This window comes from Homo sapiens, chromosome 9, assembly GCF_000001405.40.
Source record: "Homo sapiens chromosome 9, GRCh38.p14 Primary Assembly".
In the NCBI taxonomy this organism is placed as follows: domain Eukaryota; kingdom Metazoa; phylum Chordata; class Mammalia; order Primates; family Hominidae; genus Homo; species Homo sapiens.
The window spans coordinates 23,570,696-23,590,261 of NC_000009.12; the positions used below are offsets into that span (position 1 = coordinate 23,570,696).

At 39.7% G+C, this 19,566-nt stretch overlaps 1 long non-coding RNA gene across 1 annotated transcript in view, besides 1 other annotated feature; it reads right to left on the reverse strand.

Moving 5' to 3' along the window:
* LOC101929563 (uncharacterized) overlaps positions 1-19,566 on the reverse strand; it is a 171,709-nt gene that overhangs the window by 70,005 nt on the left and 82,138 nt on the right. The gene's annotated exons all lie outside the window — the stretch shown is intronic.
* Positions 942-1,523: an enhancer, noted in NCBI's record as "OCT4-NANOG hESC enhancer chr9:23571635-23572216 (GRCh37/hg19 assembly coordinates)". NCBI's record gives its function as "activates a minimal SCP1, AML or CMV promoter by ChIP-STARR-seq in primed H9 embryonic stem cells {active_cell/tissue: H9 hESC(primed)}" and the evidence as "EXISTENCE:reporter gene assay evidence [ECO:0000049][PMID:30033119]".

A 19,566-nucleotide genomic window follows, 5' to 3' on the forward strand; every position in this document is an offset into this window, starting at 1 on the left:
CTCTCCTTGCCCACTGGACATCCCTCTACAGTTCAGGCTCTCAAATCTCTGCTGACCAAAGCAGCCACATCACTCACTTTCTTCTATCCCATATCTCCCCCTTTCCCATTGCTCTTCATACTGCAACAGCATGACTTCAAAGGCCCTTCAAGATCAAGCTCCTACCTACATTTCCAGAGTTGTCCATTATCTATCCAGTCCCATTTCTTCACAGCCCAGCAACCCTCGTCCATCCTGAAACACGTTCTATGTGTGTGTACCTTCACACTGTGGTGCACGCTTTTCCCTCTCTGCATGGAGTTTTCTCAGCCCTCACAAACCTGCCTACCCATCCTTCAACATTCAGCTCAAATGCTTTGTCTTCTTCTCATTCCTTAATTTCCTCAAGTTAGGTTTAGGGGCTCTCTACACTGTGCTGGCTTTGCCCTTTTATATGCTTTTATTATAGCACATTTCATACTGTATGGCCATCATTTAAATATCTCTATGTCTACTCCTGTGTTTATGATGGTCAGTCAGGTGTGCTTACAAGAGGAAACACGGAAGAGGCTCAGGGAAACAAAGTTTATTATACTCACTGGTCCTAGAAACAAAAGGCATGCTGATATTGTTTGGCGGTGTCCCCATCCAAATCTCATCTTGAATTGTAGCTCCCGTAATTCCCACATGTTTTGGGAGGAACCAGGTGGGAGATAACTGAATCATGGGGGTGGTTTCCCCATATTGTTCTCCTAGTAGTGAATACATCTCACAAGACCTGATGGTTTTAAAAGGGGTTTCCCCCTTTGCTTGGCTTTCATTCTCTCTTGCCTGTCACCATGTATGATGTCCCTTACTCTTCTGCCCTGATTGGAGGCCTCCCCAGCCATGTGGAACTATGAGTCAATTAAACCTCTTTCCTTTATAAATTAGCCAGTCTCAAGTATGTCTTTATTAGCAGTGTGAGAACAGACTAATACACATACCTATGTAGGGTCACAGGGGAAGCACCAGGTTTTGGTCAGGAGACAAAATATAATAGCCAGGGGAAAGTCTAGACCAGAGCCTTTGTTGGGGGTTTCCTCAGGAAAGGCAAGGCGGGGTATAGTAAACAGATTAGGACTGACTAAATTGAGTAATTCTGGTGGCCTTTGGGCTCTAGGGATGGTCTGTAGTTGCCTGGTACCTGGCCAGGGATGCTTACAGTGAAGGAATATTGCTTCCTGTGGTGTATGGGCTAGACAGAAGAGGTACGGCTCTTGATTGGTTAGTTTGCATATCAAAGGCAATGCTCCTGGCTGAGTCCTGGGCTGTCTCTAAGAATTAACAGTCTCTCCCCAGTAAGAAAGATTTTTAAGATGTAAAAACATTATAATACATAGAAAAGGAACAATGTAAATGATACAACTCCCAGCCTCAAACTAAAATCTGAGTTCCTCCCTCCTATGTTCTAGGCCCTGTTGAAAGCAGGGCTGATATTCTGCTGACATGCTGATATGTACAAGTTTACTGCTTTTCTACACTTGCTTCTTCCTGATTTACTAATCATACTGGTTAGTAAATATTTTTATCATCATCCCAATTGTGTTTTGAATCTAACTGCTTTATTAACTATCATCACAGCTTTGTGAAGGATGTATTATTATCAACATTCTACATTATCTGTAGAATGTAGGCTCAGAAAATGAGGCTCAGAAAAGTTAAATAACCCAACCAAATCACAGTTAGTAAACAGCAGAGCCAGAATGGGGAGCCACATCTGCTTATACTAGAGGCTCTTTCCTCTCCATGATACTGCCTCTCTGCACTTTGTTTTTCCTTCTAGACGCAGGCATCCAGCACGGTGCCTGGCATCTAGTAGTCATTCATTAAGTGATTGCCTAATGGATTAAGGCATAAATAGCAGTGATATAAAATATTTTAAACTGTTCCCATAGCTAATTTACTCTATGGAACAAAAAGGCTGGAGGTTTGTAACCTTGTTTTAAATGAAAAACAACACCTCACAATAAGAATTGCTTACTTTATCCAGGTCTGTAATCCCAGCACTTTGGGAGGCTGAGATTGGAGGATTGCTTGAGCCCAGGAGTTTGAGGCCATCCTGGGCAACATGGCAAGAACCTATCTCTACAAAATATAAACAAATTAGCCCGGTGTGGTGGTACAAACCTGTGGTCCCAGTTACTGTGGAGGCTGAGGTGGAAGGATCCCTTGAGCCCAGGAGGTCAAGGCTGCAGCAAGCCATGATCATGCCATTGCACTCCAGTCTGGGCAACAGAGCGAGACCCTGTACCACATTGCTATAAAGAACCATCTGGGACTGGGTAATTTGTAAAGAAAAGAAGTTTAACTGACTCACTGTTCCACAGGGTGTACAAGAAGCATGGCTGGGAAGGCCTCAGAAAACTTACAATCATGGCGGGAAGCAAAGAGGAAGCAGGCACGTCTTACACGGCCGGAGCAGGAGAAAGAGAATGAAGGGGGAGGTGCTACAAATTTTTAAACAGCCAGCTCTGTGAGAACTCACTCACAGTAAGGAGAATGGCAAGGGGGAAGTCTGCCCCCATGATCCAATCACCTCCCATCAGGCCCCTCCTCCATCACTGGGGATTATAATTCACACATGAGATTTGGATGGGGACACAAATCCAAACCATAGCACCCTAACAACAACAACAAAAACAGAATTGCTTATTTCATCAAAATGCAATAGGTTCATTTCAATAGCTACCATTTATTGAGTGACTGCCATGTAACATAACATAAACTATGCTAAGAGCTTTGTGTTCATTAGCTTATTTCATCTTCTCACCAACCCTGCAAAATTGAAACCTATATATATATATATATATATATATATATATATATATATATATATATATATATATTTTTTTTTTTTTTTTTTGGCATTTCAGATGAGGAACCAGAGGCTCAGAAAAGATATGTAATGCTAATGGTTCAGAGCTGGTAAACAACAGAGCAGAGATCGAAGTTATGACACAATCTCCAAAATGCCTGCCCTTTCCACTACCCCACGTAACCATTTTATTTCCATGTCCTTGTACAATTTGCAGGAATGAGTGTATAGGGCAGGAATTGGGACTCCATACTACTTGGAAGTTTCTGAGACAAAAAGGTCCTATATTACCATTAAGTAGCCTTGTCAGTAAGGGCTTATTGTAGCTTCCATCTTCTGGGCCCAGTGGGAGACATGGTCATGGGCTCAGGACCCATCTCCTGCTGGAATCTTATTAGTGCTTCCTCTGCACAAATAAGAACTGGTGTATTGTGTTAAATGGACTGACACAAACAACCATGCTTTGTCCAGAAATAGAAAATGCTATTTTCTTTAGCAAAATAGAACATAGGAAGTGGTGGGGGTTGAAATGTCATGCACAGAACAAAGGTTTGGCAGAGGAGAAAGGTTAAAATCAATCACTCTACAGGAGAAAAAAAAAAAGGTCTGCAGTATTCTATAGTAATTATCCACCCAAAGTCACACTATAGAATTGGGAGCCACTGCTACTCAAAAATTCTTTTAAAAAGGAAAGAAAGAAAATTTCCAACCCCATAATGTTAAGGTTTTACTTTTCACAAATCATTTGGAAAAGATGATAGATATACAACTAAAAATAAATAAAAGAATGCCATTTTAACATTCTCACCTCTAGTGGTAGGAAGTAACCTTTTCATTTAAGAATGAGGCAGGGAGAAACCAAAATTGCTCTCTCAAAAGAAAGTACCACCAGTATGTTACTACTCTGACTTGTATGCTAGAGGAAATTAGAATTTAAGTTGAAAATGAAGGCTTATTCACTATTCATATCTTCTGGCTAATCATCTTCTCTTCAAGAGTAATGTCCACTAACATTGCTATAGTTTCACAAACCTCAACGTGGCACAACTTTCTGGGATTGTTATTTTTTTTTTCTTTTCTGCAAGGTTTTCCTATTACTTTCTACATAAGATTACAAATTCTTCAAGGTCCGACCTCTGATGTTTGTTGTCCTCATCCCCATTGTTTTTTAATCCCATGATATTTCTCATTCAGACCAAGAGGAAGTTGCTAAGAAGAATCATAAAACAAAGACAGCAACATATTGGTTTTTAGAGTCAAATGCTGAGATATGAAGTAAAAGAGAAAATTTTAGGCAATACAATTGATCAAGAATCCATTAAGAAAAGTACAAAGTAATTACCCTGTCTCCAAGAACAAAAACTATATTCTGCCCATCGGATCAAGTTCGGGGAAGACCAAATGGTTCACGGAGACTATGACCTGTTTTCTGATCAGTTGAAAGCAGAACAAACAGAATAAAGGACTTATATCACCACATGCGCGCACACACACACACACAAAGATGAAAAAATTAGAGATCAGCCTTTCTCATATGTATCTATTTATTTAGGTAATGTAAGATGGCAAACAAGTATTCAGTCAGAAAGGTGAAATCATTAAAAAGAAAAAAAAATGTGTGCCATGCTTTAGCCTCGATTTGACCTGGAAGCAGAAGAGTAAGAGAAGGAAGTAAACTGGCTCAAGGTTCCATGAGTCGACTATGCACAGTGTGATTGATCATAGTAATTCCCCAGATCTAAAGCCTCCTCCTTTCTAGCATACTCTAGAGAGTCACTTCTTCTGTTAAATATATATTTGGATTCCTGTCACTTTCAGCTCTTGGTTCTCAATTCTTTCTTATCTTGAACAAGTCATAAGACACTTTCTGAGTATTAACCGTCCCCAGGAAACTATATCCCTTACTTAATAAGAACTATGTAAAATAAGAGATAAAGGCTATCAGGTATCCTGACTTCTTGGAAGAATGAGTCAATAGAAATGAGTTTGGGTAGGGAGAAAAGAATTTTACCATATAAGTAAGATGAATATTAGAGAATTTGATTTGGGAGAGAAAACGCTGCAAAGATGATGCTGATGAGAAAAGAGCATTAGCATATTGTCTTAAGTCACATACGGTATTCTCTTGGGGCCTCAATTTGTACATCTGTAAAATGGAGGGGTTCAGCTATGTGAGACTGTGTTTCTTCCTGGCTATAATATTTATGAATTAAGTCAGAGCTGAATTGTGATTCAGAATTCAAGATTTTTAGCTGTCTGCTTAAGACATGTTAAAAAGCCATTTTCTCTTTGGAACTGCTATATGTGTCAGAAATAAATCCAGTATTCAGGAGAGAAAACATTCTGCTTCTTCCTCCACACCCCCACTCCCCCTGTCTGATTGTTGTTTAATAAAAGCCAAGATAGGGAAGGTCCAAGGCAGACTCTTAGCCTGGCCTCTCCATTCAATGGATTCAGAATTATTCTGGTTTCTGAATAAGATGATTCTCCCCTTCACCCCCAGCATTTATCACTTTGGTCAACCATTAAAAGGATGAAGCAAAAGCATTGCCCAGCAAGAAACTCCTGCAGCTGGCAGAAATGAAAAGCAAAGATCTTCCCTCACAGGTCAAATCTAACTGACACTACACAGATAAAGCTAAGCTGGGAGAGCAAAGGCAGACGTGCAAGCAGTTGAAACTAGAGAGGAAACTATTTTGAGTTCCTTTCACCAAAGATTGTAACATATTTGTGTTGTTTTTTTTTTTTTATCAGAGCCTCCTGGAGCTCTCTGACTTTTCCTTATTAATATTATTATTATTATTGAAAGATTTTTTTTCAAGCAATTCCCTGATTAGCTGGAATATTCTTGCTCTTTTTAAAATCTGCAGTCATACTATAGTGTTTCACCCGAGCCCTAGGGGCAATTTGAAACAACGTCTTTTTCTGCTTGTGGTCCAGGATTTTTAAGATCCTACCTGAATAGATCTGAAGTTTTCTGAAAAGTCTCCTGTCTCCCTGCAGCCCCTAGATGTTCTAGAGAGAAAGTGTCCTGGGATCTGCCACTCAGCACACCACTTGCTCTTGAAAGCACATAGTCCCTGCTTGGAATCCGCTTTGCTCCTCCTGGTAGTCCTGCTCAAAATGGGAACGCAAATGCCTATGTGGCCAAGTGAAGCATTCACTTGCATACCATAGGCTTATTCTGTAGCTAGGGACATCCTGATACTCGGGTAGTTAGCATAAAGAAGAAAACTCTGCGCCCAGGTGTCAAGGTTTCACTGGAAGAGAGAGGCAAGCCTGAGGACAACAGGGAAGGAGAAGGGTTGAGGCTACAACTGGGAGGCCTGATCCTCGGAGTAGAATGTGTTTTCAATGACGGAGAATGATTAATGACTTGGAAATATTTTGGAAAGTTGGGAGAATGACAAGCCCCCTTCCTGGCCCCATGAAATATGGAGTTTAAGGGAAGATTGGCCTTCACTGCAGAGCAATTTTTTTTTTTTTTTTTAAAAAAGGGTATTCTGAGGAAGACAAAGGTTTTTTAATTTGGCTGAATGTCATTTTGATAAAAGGTCGAGGGGCCAGGCGTGGTGGCTCACGCCTGTAATCCCAACACTTTGGGAGGCTCAGGCAGATGAATCACGAGGTCCAGAGCTCGAGACCATCCTGGCTAACATGGTAAAATCCCGTCTCTACTAAAAATACAAAAAATTAGCTGGGGATGGTGGCACGCAACTGTAGTCCCAGCTACCCGGGAGGCTGAGGCAGGAGAATCGCTTGAACTCGGGAGGCAGAGGTTGCAGGAGGTTGCAGTGAGCCAAGATCATGCCACTGCACTCCAGCCTGGGCAACAGAGCAAGACTCCATCTAAAAGGTTGAGGATGTAGGGTACAGTTTAACAGAGAAAGGAACGTTTCTGAGCACTCAGTGGAAAGGATCCAGAGGAGGGTTAATATTTGGTGGACCTAGAAGTAGGGAATGGCAGAGCAATCAGATAATTTGGGTTTGAGAGAGGATGGACAATTTGCTGGGAATGGAAGGGTGCAGTTTGTTGGAAGCTAACAGCTATGTACCTAAACTTTCCAAGGGTCAAGAGAGAGAAAGAGTAGGAACTATCACACAGTTGGCAGGTGATTACAAAATGGTCTGTACTGGCAGGGGCAGCAAGTTCTGTAATATGTGGCCTCATTTTTAGAGAAAATAAAATCCTGATTGGGGTTGAGGGGAGATGACCATGCACATAAACACACGTGTACATAAAACTAGAGTCCTTGCTTTTATTGAGCCCTCCCATGCCAAAACAAACAAATAAAAATTAGTAGCCTGCTGCAGTGGAGCTTGCACATGATTATGAAATAGGCCAATGAGCTCTATTGAGGGGTTATAAAGATTGAACATGGGGCTCTTCCTGAGGAATATAAGATGAGTGTTACTAAATTTTGATATTGATGGAATTCTGCATTCATGAAACTTTTAAATGCTTTGGTAGAATGGGTAATAATCTGGGAGTCAGCAGACTTGAATTCTGGTCCCCAAACCCCTATTTACCTTTGAAAGAAGAGAAAACCTACCGCCAATGTTTTCCCTTCCCCACCTCCCCTCTCCTCCAAAAGCTAGTTTCTGCCTCCACCTTTCTGATGAATCTACTTAAGTGAAGCTCATCAGTGACTCTGTCCTGCCACAGTTGCCATCCCATGGGTGCTTTCAATTTTAATGTAGGTTCCTTTTCTTCCCTGTTTCCCATGAACTGAGCTTTCCTGCTTTTCATCCACTGAACCGCTTCCTGGCCCTAATGGTGGTAATGCAGGGCCCATCACTTAATCATCTTTGTATGTCAAGTAAGAGTATAATGATTATCAAATAGATAATTGAATAAAATGCTTTTGTCACTAAGCTTTGATATCTTCATCTTTTCAAATTAAAGGTTTGGACTTCAAAATCTAAAATATATGATTGTGTGCTCTTCTTACAGTGGTTTTATGAATTTAAGAATCAAGTATCATCCACTTAGGGAAAAGAGTCCCTCAATAGAAGATTCTTGAGTTTATCACATAAAAAGGATGTGACAATATAGTCTTCTCTCAAGGTCCCAGAAGCAATACATCAGCCTTTTTAGGTTGATACCAAAGCTTTGGATATGTAACACTGACTGCTTCATACATAGATAGGTATTAATGCACAGATACATAATACATAGACATACTGAATACAATGGCTTTAATGCTGCCATTATCTCATTCTCTTTAGAATATCATCTAACTTACTGAGTTGTATATTGTAATAAAAGCCAGCTTCAATTTGAGTAAATAGAACTGTTCTTTTTAGCAGTATGTGCTTAAGAAGCTAATTATAATTATACAGATCTATTTATATAAACACATTAAAAATGGTTCTGCTGTTTCTATGTCAATTCATTTGTCATGACTTGGTACATAATTCCTTAGACTCATTCTTTTTAGAGTATAAAAATAATGCTTCCTAATTACAATAAAATTAGAATAAAGTCAAAAAAGTAGAAAGAAGATTTTCTTGATCACACAAATTCCTAACATTCAGTGGCATTAGATGAACATTTGGTGTATTTCCTTTTGGGTATTTTTTTTTCTATTTAAAGATTATATTTTGCTGAGTTTATTTTTAAAGACATAGTTTATATATAGTTCTTGAAAAGAATATATGTATCATTTCCCTGAAAATATTAATACATGATCATCAAGATATTTGGGGATAAATTGCCACTTCAAAAATGCATCTTACAAAGAGCATTCACATGGTTTTAAATAGAAATTTCTAAATATCTTATTCACAGTTTACAGTGGTAATGCACCTTTTAGATAAATAGAGCTAAATAAAGTACCCAGAAAATTAATGCAATTTAACATTCTCCTCAAACACTGCCCCTACCTCTTCCCTCTCAACAGTTAAATCACCAGGTACAGATGCCACCAAAATCTTAACACAACAACCCTAGGAAGCACATGATGAAAACAGCATTCAGGTGCCAATTAACACAGGCCTCACTTCCTGAAACAGCTGTCCTCCAGTCATTCTAATGTATCATCCCATAGTCCTACTTCCTAGGAAAAGAAGTGAAAAGAAGGAACTGAATATTTATGCTGTTGTCTGACTGCTTTTAGACCTTAGCTGAAACTGAGATTTCTCTGAAGGAAGTACTCTTGTCTCATTCATCTTTGTGTACAGTGACTAGGATCCCACAAAGCACAAGGCACAAGTTTTATTAGTATTTGTTGACTACTGAATAAGGCCAAGGGCAAATGGTCAACTAGGAGTAATTTCAACTGCAAGTGGCAGAAAACTCAAAGGCAGTGATATAAGCAAACATATAGGTGTCTTTTTCTTATCTAGCTAGATGTCCAGAAGAAAGCAGGTGTTGATGTTTGTTCTATGGCTCAGCAATGTCAGGGGTGATATCTCTAAAATTCTCTCAGCCTTCCCCTTTTGCCTCAAGATGGCCGCATTAGCTTCGGTCACAAATCCATTTTCAAGGCAAGAGTACGCCTTGATGAGCCCCCAGTAGACTTCCAGTTAAATCTCATTAGCAGTGTTATATGACTTCCTCTTGCTGCAAAAGAGTCTGGGAAAGTGCTTGTATTTCCTGGAGCTTGTGTCTGGAGTTGGGCATAGAATCTGGATTCTGTTAGCAACAAAAAAGGGAGAAATGGGTACTGGATAGTCAATTAACAGTGTCTGCCTCAAGAAATGTTGTTCTCCATCTTTTTAAAGTGAAAATAAAAAGTAGAAATTGAAAACAGCTAATAAAACAATCAAGAAAAGAACATACATTCCATGCAAACTTCCATAGGTATGACCACTCACTGACAGCTGCTACGGATAATAGTGACTTGGTGAGTTGGAAGTTGTGGCTGGTTCAACAGCAAGGCTAATCAAGTAACTTGAGAATGCGTGTATCTTGAGTGATGCACTCAACTACATACTATGTCTGGGTCTCTTGTCCTTAAAAGGGGACCTAATACAGGATAGAAACAAACAAATTTGATTTGTCAAAGCTAGATGAATTATGAATGTCTTCCTTTGGTTTTAATGCAGTCCAATATTTTAAAAAATATTTTATGGAATTTGTAGAGGTGGAATTGGAAGAGACTCTATTTAGACTATACTCTTCATCATATCATGCAGCCTCTGCTTAAAATTTCCAGCAACAAGGTCTCTACTCTGTAAAGTAGCCAATTCAACATTTAAATTTCTCTAATGATCAGAAAAGTCTTTCATAATTTGAACTGGATTTTACTTCTCAGTGTTATGCATCTACTGTTTCTAACACTGATTTTTAGAGTGAGCAGAATAAGTTTGTGTCTCCTTGCATATGACAGCCCTTTAAATAAATCAACAAAGTTGAGATCCCTGTTCTTGTAGAGAAACAATTTGGGCCTTGAACTCTTCCTTAGTTGGCGCAACTTCCGTAGTCCCTTTGTCCACCCCTCATTCCAGATAGTTGCCCTTCTCTGGTTACTCTGAAGTAGTGAATGTTACTTATTTTATAGCTCTTGCAATAACACAATAACACAATATGCCTATAACCAACCGCCAAGGGTGATTGTAGATGTCTACAACTACCCTTGGTGTCGACACTCACCATTTCGATTTTGGTCCACGTCTCTGGGCCTAAGAAGATTATTTGACATCCTTACTCATCAAATATGCAAGTTCTCCCCCTGAACGTATTTGCCAAACAAGCCCTCCATGATGTCATCCAAATCGTTAGAATAAAAAAATTCAACAAGGCAGAGACAATATGCTAAAAGAGCTTTCCTTTCTGGTTATCAAGCCATTTATAAATATTGGGGTGAAACTGTTGTTCAATTGTCTGTTAAAGTACCACAAAAGATAACTCTCCATATTTTTCCATTTCATGCAGAGTTCTCAGGATTTTCCTTTCTGTCTCTCCACCAGGTAATTTAGAGCCTCCATAAATGATTTATTTGCCATGCTCTCCACCACATTTTAAACAGTACACCACAGATGTCTGGCACTCCTTTAAAACTCAGGTGGAAAAATGAGGGTGGGTGTTAACATTTATGTAATTTATGTACAGTTACTAAATAAACACTGCACTAGGAGATTTATATACATTATTTCCTTCGGTCCTCCTAACCACTTTTTAAGGTCTTACAATACCCCCCAGCTTTTTAAAGAGAGATTACTAAAAAGTTTACTGTAGTTCAGAAACTTGCTTTAGAACTATGTTATTTTTCTGGACACCAAATACACGTTGTTTTCCAAACAAATTCTCTAAATCTTTGACATCAACTGGGTGTCCGACAATTTAATTCAATTCCAACAACTATTGAGAAATAAAAACAAAATCCTAAGACCCAAGGAGACACCAGAGAAATCTTAAAAACTGAGTTCCTGGCCATGACAGGACAAGTGGTGAGACATGCCTCAGTATGCTCCTTTCTTATTAACCTTTAACCAGAATTCTTTCCTAAGGAGTAAACAGAAACCAGCTTTGGAAAAGAAGAAACAGACAACTCATTTCATTAATCACCTTTAACCAACCATCTGAGGCCATGTCTGCACTTCCCCTCCCTCTTTGCTGTTTCTACATGACAACTCACCAGTTTCACAATGCATCCTTCCTGAAAACTAACCACCCTCTCCAGGCTGGTTTTGGCCAACTCATGGAGGATGCACAGTGAGGGTTCTCGTGTCCCTCTGCTTCACCTTTTGACATCAGCGAGCTCAAAACTCCACCCTTGGACCATGCTAACAACACCCTTTATTTTCGAACATGTGACTCATGAAGAGCCATGAAGCTCAGTTGTGCATGCATATGTTTCTCCTTTCAAATATTCCTTATATAGCTATTAAATATGTATACTTAGCCAACCTGTTCAGCATAAATTCCTGTATTATGCTTCCTTCCCTCAAAGTGCTTGCTCTCGGTGGCCAAAGGCCATGGTTCCTAGCCTGTGGAATGGCCAGTTTATTTCTCTTTTATGAGAAATAGTTTTCCTGTCCAAATTTATGAAACTCATCATTCTTCAGATGTCAATACCCAGAGTTGACACAGATCGTACAGCTCAAGGGCTCAATCCCACAAGACTTCTCCCACTTCAGATGCCAACTGCAAGTGGGGTGCTCAGGCTACCCACACTTCTGCCCAGCTGACTACAAATTCAGGGGTTCCCACGACCCTCTCCTCAAGTTTATAATTCCTTAGAAAAACTCATAGATCTCAGGAAAACACTACACTTAAAGGATAGCCAAATGGAAGAGACACTAGAACAAGATATGGAAGGGGTAGAGGGGTAGTCCAGAGCTTCCATGCCCTCTCCAGGTGCACCACCTTCCTAGAATATCAACATGTTCACCAATTAAGAAGCTCACCAAACACTGTCGCTTAGGAGTTTTTATGAAGGCTTCGCTATATAGGCACGGTTGACTAAATCATTGGTCACTGGTGACTAAATTCAATCTCCAGCCCCTCTTTCCTCTCTGGAAATCAAGGGGTGGGGCTGACAGTTCTAACATTCTAGTCACATGACTCTCTAAAGCCTCTGCCCATGGTTTAGTCATCTCATTAGTACACAAAAGACAGTGAAGTCCAAGGGTTTTAGAAATCTGTGCCAGGAACCAGGGGCAAAGACCAAGTTTATATTTTTTATTACACCACAAGATCCCATGGTTAGTAATGGTAGAGCTGTATTTCTAACTCAGGTCGGCTTATGGTTGAATTTCATATTCTCCTCTTATGACAGATTTCCTACTGATGAATCAAATTTTATAGAACGAAAGCTATATTAGTACAAGATATTTTGAGATGCGCTCCAAGTAGAAATATCCTGTGTCAAAGTCACATCAATCTGAAAACTGGTAATCAAGAAAATTAGTCTTGAGAAATGTGTTTTCCTTATTCTGAATAATCATGATCAGCTCTTTAATTGTTATATTTACCCTTCATACGCTAAAGCAAGTCAAATAGGTAAGACCTTCGTTCTCCATCACTTACGTATTACTAACTGTAGGTTAAGGATCCAACTAATATTTTACAGTAACTTTCACACTTATCCTTTGCCCACTGATTCACTCACATACTCTCACGCTCAGGGGTTTATGTAACTATACTCATCTAGAAAGCAAAAAGAAATAGGTTTATCACACACAGAAAGAATTTTAAAACAATGAATAATGTTGTAGGAAAACAGAGGATTATAGCTTGAGTGACTTGTGTACCAAACAGTACAGCATGCTCTGTGTGGGTCTGTTCCTGTCACCTGCAAAACTGTGTGGAAAATATTCTTGGAACAGAAAGTAGAGCCTTTTTGTGTCATCCTACTCCATTTTTTAACAGCTTAATAGAAATGACTGAACATATAATTCATTTGAGTAACAAAAATTAGTTATAAATTTCCATTTCAGGCTGGGCGTGGTGGCTTACACTTGTAATCCGAGCACTTTGGAAGTCTGAGGCAGGTGGATCACCTGAGGTCAGGAGTTCAGGACCAGCCTGGCCAACATGGTGAAACCCCATCTCCACTAAAGATACAAAAAAAAAAAAAAATTAGCTGGGCATGGTGGCGGGCACCTGTAATCCCAGCTACTTGGGAGGCTGATGCAGGAGAATCGCTTGAACCCAGGAGGCAGAGGTTGCAGTCGGCCGGGATTGCACCACTGCACTCTAGCCTGGGCAACAAGAGCGAAACTCCATCTCCAAAAAAAAAAAAAAAAAAAAAAAATTAATTTCAAAATTTTCAGCAACAAAAGAATCTATACCATTTATTGAGCTCCTTTGATGCCAATTGCTAATAACATTAGGCACCTTTAAAATATCTAATCCTTGCAACCAGCTCCACAACACAGATGTCATATCCCCATTTTACACAAAACTAAACTGAGACTCAAAGGTTGAGAGGCAAACCATGTGGAACATACATTGTTCTTATGACATCTTGCTATACTAAACTCTCCATCCTCATATCCCTGAGAAGTCTTCAAGAACCATGCAGATATATTTTCTTAAAAAGATGATAGGGAAAGAAGGGAAAGCAAGGGAAAATTTTTTAAAAAGGGAAAAGGGAAGAAAAGGAAGGGAAGGGAATGGAGGGTAAGGCCAGATGACACAAAGCAAAACAACACAACTACTCTACACCAGAGCATCTGGAGAAACAATAGCTAAAATTCTGTATGTTTCTCACCACAAGCCAGAGATTATATTGACATCGTGTCACCACTCCAATGTGTTTCCAAATATCTTGGTCATTCAGTCAATATATTCAATGAGAACTTCTCTGCACTCAGAATGTTGTAATAGGTGCTGTGGGGAAAATACACACGCAATAAAAGATAAGTTGCCACCCTTATGGCACTCACAATTGAGCTAGGTCAAGAATATAAATTCATGAAATAGCAGGAGACTTTCATGGTAACACCTTAAGGACAGATATCTCTAGCACCAGCTATGAAGCCAGAAAGTGGAAGTGCACGAGTTGGGCAGGCTCTTCCATAAGCCAGACTTCTCAATCTGGATTTGAAAAGAACCAAAGAATAGGACGTGACTTTGCCACCAAGAATTAAAACTGAAGGTTCTTTATTGTGCATGCTGCGTGTCAACAGACAGCCCATGGTAGACTCTACTTCAAGACCATTATGAGAAATAAGCAGTTCCTCCTCTGGACTCTCAGCAAGGTAGTTGATCTTGGTCCCAAACACTTTACCCTACCAGGATGCACACTTCAAACCTTGAAACTCTTGGTGATAATGAAACAAACTAAGATTCTAAGCCTGTTCCTCTGCAAATAGTTCTTTGTCAAGATTCTATGCCAAACAGTGGAATAGTGTCTACTTCTGTTTTAGTAACACAGTAACAGGCACCTGGGCAAAAATGATCACGAAAATAAAGTCACACTCCATCATCATAAGTGATTTATGGATATTCCATTTTCTGAGGCTGCCGTGTCTATTTCTAAAACCAAGGTGCCAGACAGGACGAAGATACTCGAACAACAAATGGCTGAACTGAAGCCTTCACATAAGCCTCAAGAATTTGGCAAGGTTTATGTTGATATTTAAAACCCCAATATCAGAACAGTTGTATAAAGACATAAAAGGACATGTTTTTGTTCAGGTGTCTGTGACTGATGGAGTGATTTCAGTGATTTTGAGACAGTGTTTTGAAAAGCACATCCTGACACACATCTTGAGGAGGATTAGCAATCCCCTGTATTTCTTGATGTCCCACACAGGCACAGTATACAGTTCTCACTGACTGGATGACTGGGTGCTATATTCCAATACTCCCTTAGAGAAGGTGTCCAAAAAGTGACACAATGTAAACTTTGTGTTTACATATTTCCATATAAGTCCATTTTAAAATTTCAATGATTTTTTTCTGAACGAGCATCTGTAGGTCCACGTAGTTCCATAAAAGGAGAGATTTCTGTTTCCTAATACTCTGTGCTAAATCCCTGTTGGCTCCATGTATACTTAAATAATCTGGAGTTTATTCATTATAAAAGACTTAGCTCACTGGCTCACTGAATACACTGATTTTCATCCAACAAACATTTACTGAGGAACTACTTTATTATAGGCCTTGTATCCAGTGTTTGGAGAGATAGAAAAGGACCTGGTTCCCACCCCACTCTTAGGTCACTCAGTCTAAAGGGCTGTCAGACCACTAGGCAATTACAGTGCAGTGTGAAGAGGGCTAAAGAAGTGCAAGGTGATGTGCAGCCATATGGGCGGGAGGGGTAGAAGGGAGAGCCAGCAGACCAGCCTGAATTGTACCTTTCTAAATTTACCTTTCTTGTGGTAAATCCACACTTCAGCCATGTCAGGAACGATGGCACCTTTTTAGGTAGTGAGTACTTGAATCAATGTGATCAAATGCTTCTACTCCTAAGAAGTGACAATTGAGTAAACCATATTCTTTCTTATATTTTTAACTGATAAAAATAATGATATATACTATGACTTTAATAGAACTTTGAATTTATTTACTGGAGTCACCTTGGTCAGGTGACCTAGCCTCTCTAAACTTCAATTTCCTCATCTGTAAAATAAGAATAACACCTATCTCATAGGTTTGTTTTGAGGGTCAGTGTAGAATAATGCACATAAAGCATTTACAACAGTGTCTAGCACAAAGAAAGTGCTCATTAAATAGCTGAAGTTTTAAATTATGAATGCCATTCGTGAATCTCTCTTCTTGCCTTCCCTCCTGGGACATGACAATTTCCTATTCAGCTCAACATCCTGCACTTTAAGCTCTCTCAATCTCAGTGGTATACTATGTTCCTCAAGCTTGTTTAAGAGAAAGCAGCTGATATCTGGAACCAAACTTCTACTTTATTCAGTGAAAAAAACAAACAAACAACAACAAAAAACCACTCAATGATCTTCTGGGTATGTGGTGCTGGTTTTTATTTTTCCATAGGAGTAATTTCTTTTTCCTAATACTCTGGCTCTATTCCTTTTGGCTTCCAGAAAGCAAGAATTACTCTGAGATGCCCAGACCAGACTAGACACAGACACAGAAAGCCAGTGACCTATATCAACTGCCACTAATCATCAGAGTGAGAGAACAGATACTTCCCCTTTTCTGTCAAGGGCAGACCAATGAATTAGGCACTGAAGCAGACCAAATGTGATCTGGTATCTTAGTTCTGTGCAATCAGCTACAATAAAGCTAAGTGGTCTGGGAAAGCATGGCAAAGCAGTAATCATCCCTAAAGTAACTAGAGGAATAACTAAGTAAGTGTCTGCTAAAATACGGTCTGTACCTTTTCAAGAGGTGCATGTCTCCATTTGGGCCTCCCCAAAACTCGCTTAAGTGGATAGACAAGGCAGCCTAGTAAACAACCTGAAAGGCCTGTAATCTATAATTTTGGGATGGTAAACAAAGGTATTGGTCATAAGGTGGACTTACTGTGCCCTTTTATTAAGCATGAGAAAATAATTTTTCTATAAGGAACTGAATTTGAGCTCATACTTAAAAGTTGTGGCTGTGGCTATACTACAGAAGGGAAGAGTTAATCCCCAATTGTGCCCACATGTGCAGTGGCAGCAGAAACTGGCAGAAAGAACCCTGAACTAGCCTTGAGTACTATTCTTGTCTCCACACTCTCTAACTGCGGGCTCCCTGCCAGTAACTGCTTTTGTGAAGCCACTAGGAGCTGCTGACTGGTTGCATTTCCTTGTTCATCCAAAAGCTATATTTAGAGTGACAACCCCTAGAGATTTAAGGGACCCTGAGACAGGTCAAGTGACGTGATCCTGCTCTGAGGAAGCCTCTCGTGACCCAAGCCAAGGGAGTAAACTCTACAACAGGGAGAAGAAATGGGAGAATAGGAAGAAGTAAAAGAAGGAGGGAATTCACAGAGTACCAATAGCATGCCAGGACTAGAGCTAGGTGCTCTCACTTACATGAACTCATTTAATCTTAACAATTAGGCAAAGCAGGTATTATCCCATTGTTCCTATTCTAAAATGACAGGCAACTTGGCTAAATTAAAAGAGTAACTAAAGAGTTGAACTTAGGGCTCCACAGGCTACTTTTAAGTCTATTACCATGGTTTACTGCCTCTGCATGGAGCACCCTCTGGTGGGCAGGGGGATATCCAGACTGAGTGAATGCCTTCTCCAGACCTTTTTCCCAAGGACACTGAGACCTGTAGTACCTTCCTAGTTAAATTGGCCGGGAGCCTGCCTGGGTATGAAAGGGATACTGAAGCAGCTGGAGATTTCTGGGTTTGCTTCAGAAGTTCTAGGCACTTCAGCGTATTTAACAAAAAGTTTCAAGGAAAGTAGACCTCCTTCTTTGGGCTATGAATCCTTTCCAGAGACAGGATATCTATTTAGATAAATGTAAGTTTCAATTCTTCCCTTTCTCACAGTCCTCCTCTCTAAAACAGAATTAGTGAGTAACACCCATCTTAGAGTGATACAGCCTGGTAGACAGTGTTTTGGAAGACTATAACTCTTTAACTCTTGGAAAAGGAAGAAAAATATACAACCCTGCAATCTGCGAAGTTCTTGCACAGATATAAACTCATTGATTCTCAGAGAATTGGAGGTACAAGTATCGTCATTCCCATTTTACAAAAGCTCAAGTGGCTCAGTGACTTGCTTAAGATAAAATGGTTAACAGGACCCTTGCTTTTACTAAGCAATTTGACCTCAAAAGGCATGTCTTTCTCATTAAATACACCCTTTCTATAATCATGTTAAATAACAAATTGTTCCCAGGGTAAGAGAAGGGGAGTGATATAAAATTAAGCCATTATCTTATTCCTTGCTATGGTTTGAATGTTTGTGGCCCTTCCAAAATTCATGTTGAAATTTAATCCCTAAAGCAACAATATTAGGAGGTGGGGCTTTAGAAGGTGATTAGGCCATGAGGACTCTGACTTTATGAATGGATAAAATATAAAATATAAAAGGGATTGAGGGGGCAACTTCACCTCTTCTGTCCCTTCTGCCTGAGGAAACACAGTGTTTGTCTCTTTTGTAGGATGCAGCAACAAGGTGCCATCTTTGAAGCAGAGAGCATCCCTCACCAGACACCAAATCTGCCAGCACTTTGATTTTGAACTTCCCAGTCTCCAGAACTGTGAGCAATACATTTCTATTTATAGATTACCCAGTCTCTGGTATTATGTTATAGCAATACAAAGGGACTAAGACATCCCTGAATAATATTTCAGTGGTATAAGGCAAAATGTTATATATATATATATATATATATATATATATATATATATAACAAAGGAAACAGACATATTATTTTACTCAAGTGGAAGAAAAGTAGTGTTACACAGGAAAGACTTTATGACACAGGCAGCAATTTATCAATTTATGTGGGTCTTCTGTGAAAGATAAGATGTCATGAACTTAAGACAGGAATCTGGCAAAGGAATGAAGGAAATCAAGTGGAGGAAAAACTGAGAAATCCTAGTATTGCCCAACTATAGGTTCCATGAGAGGAAACAGTGAAAAACAGCTCTGGAAAAAATCAATGTGGATGATCCTGAATGGGCAGGCCAGGTAAAGCATTAGGCCTTTATTCTGCCAATAATTTGGAACCCTGAAAGGTTCTGAGCAAGAGACAGAATGATCCAACCTATCCTACTCTGGTACTATTGTAAAGTACAGATTAAAATGGGGAGACATTAGAAGATATGAATATCTTTGCCTCAATTCACATGAGACCAAAAGGGGGCCCTATCAGGGTTCCAATACTAGGAATGTAAAGGTGGGGTGAAATGACATAGGTAGAAAATGGATAGAACTCAGTGAGTGACTGGATATGAAGGCTAGCCAGGGGTTGAAATCAAGAGCTATAATTAGGGTTTGAACCTAGCTGATTTGAAGGACAATGACAGAACTAAGCAAGACAGAGGAGACAGGAAGAGGAATTGGCAGGGAAGGGGATATGGTGAATTTTGCACATGCTGAGCGTAAAAAAAGTTTTGATTGATTATTCAGAACGAGATTTTCAGCAAATTCTTGATAATGTATAGTAGATCTAAAACACAGGAATTACGTCAAAGGTGGAGACTCAGGAGTCAACAGCATAAGGAAGACAGAAGTGAACAGAATGACCAATGGAGAGAGACGAGAGTCAAGTGCAGGAACCCAACAGACCCTCAAGAAAGCACACTGAAAGAGACAAAGGAGTAATATTAAGATGGACAGGAGAAGAACATGACTACAACGCCACATGATAAAGGGAGTGAGAAACATTAAGAAGTAGATTATGGCCA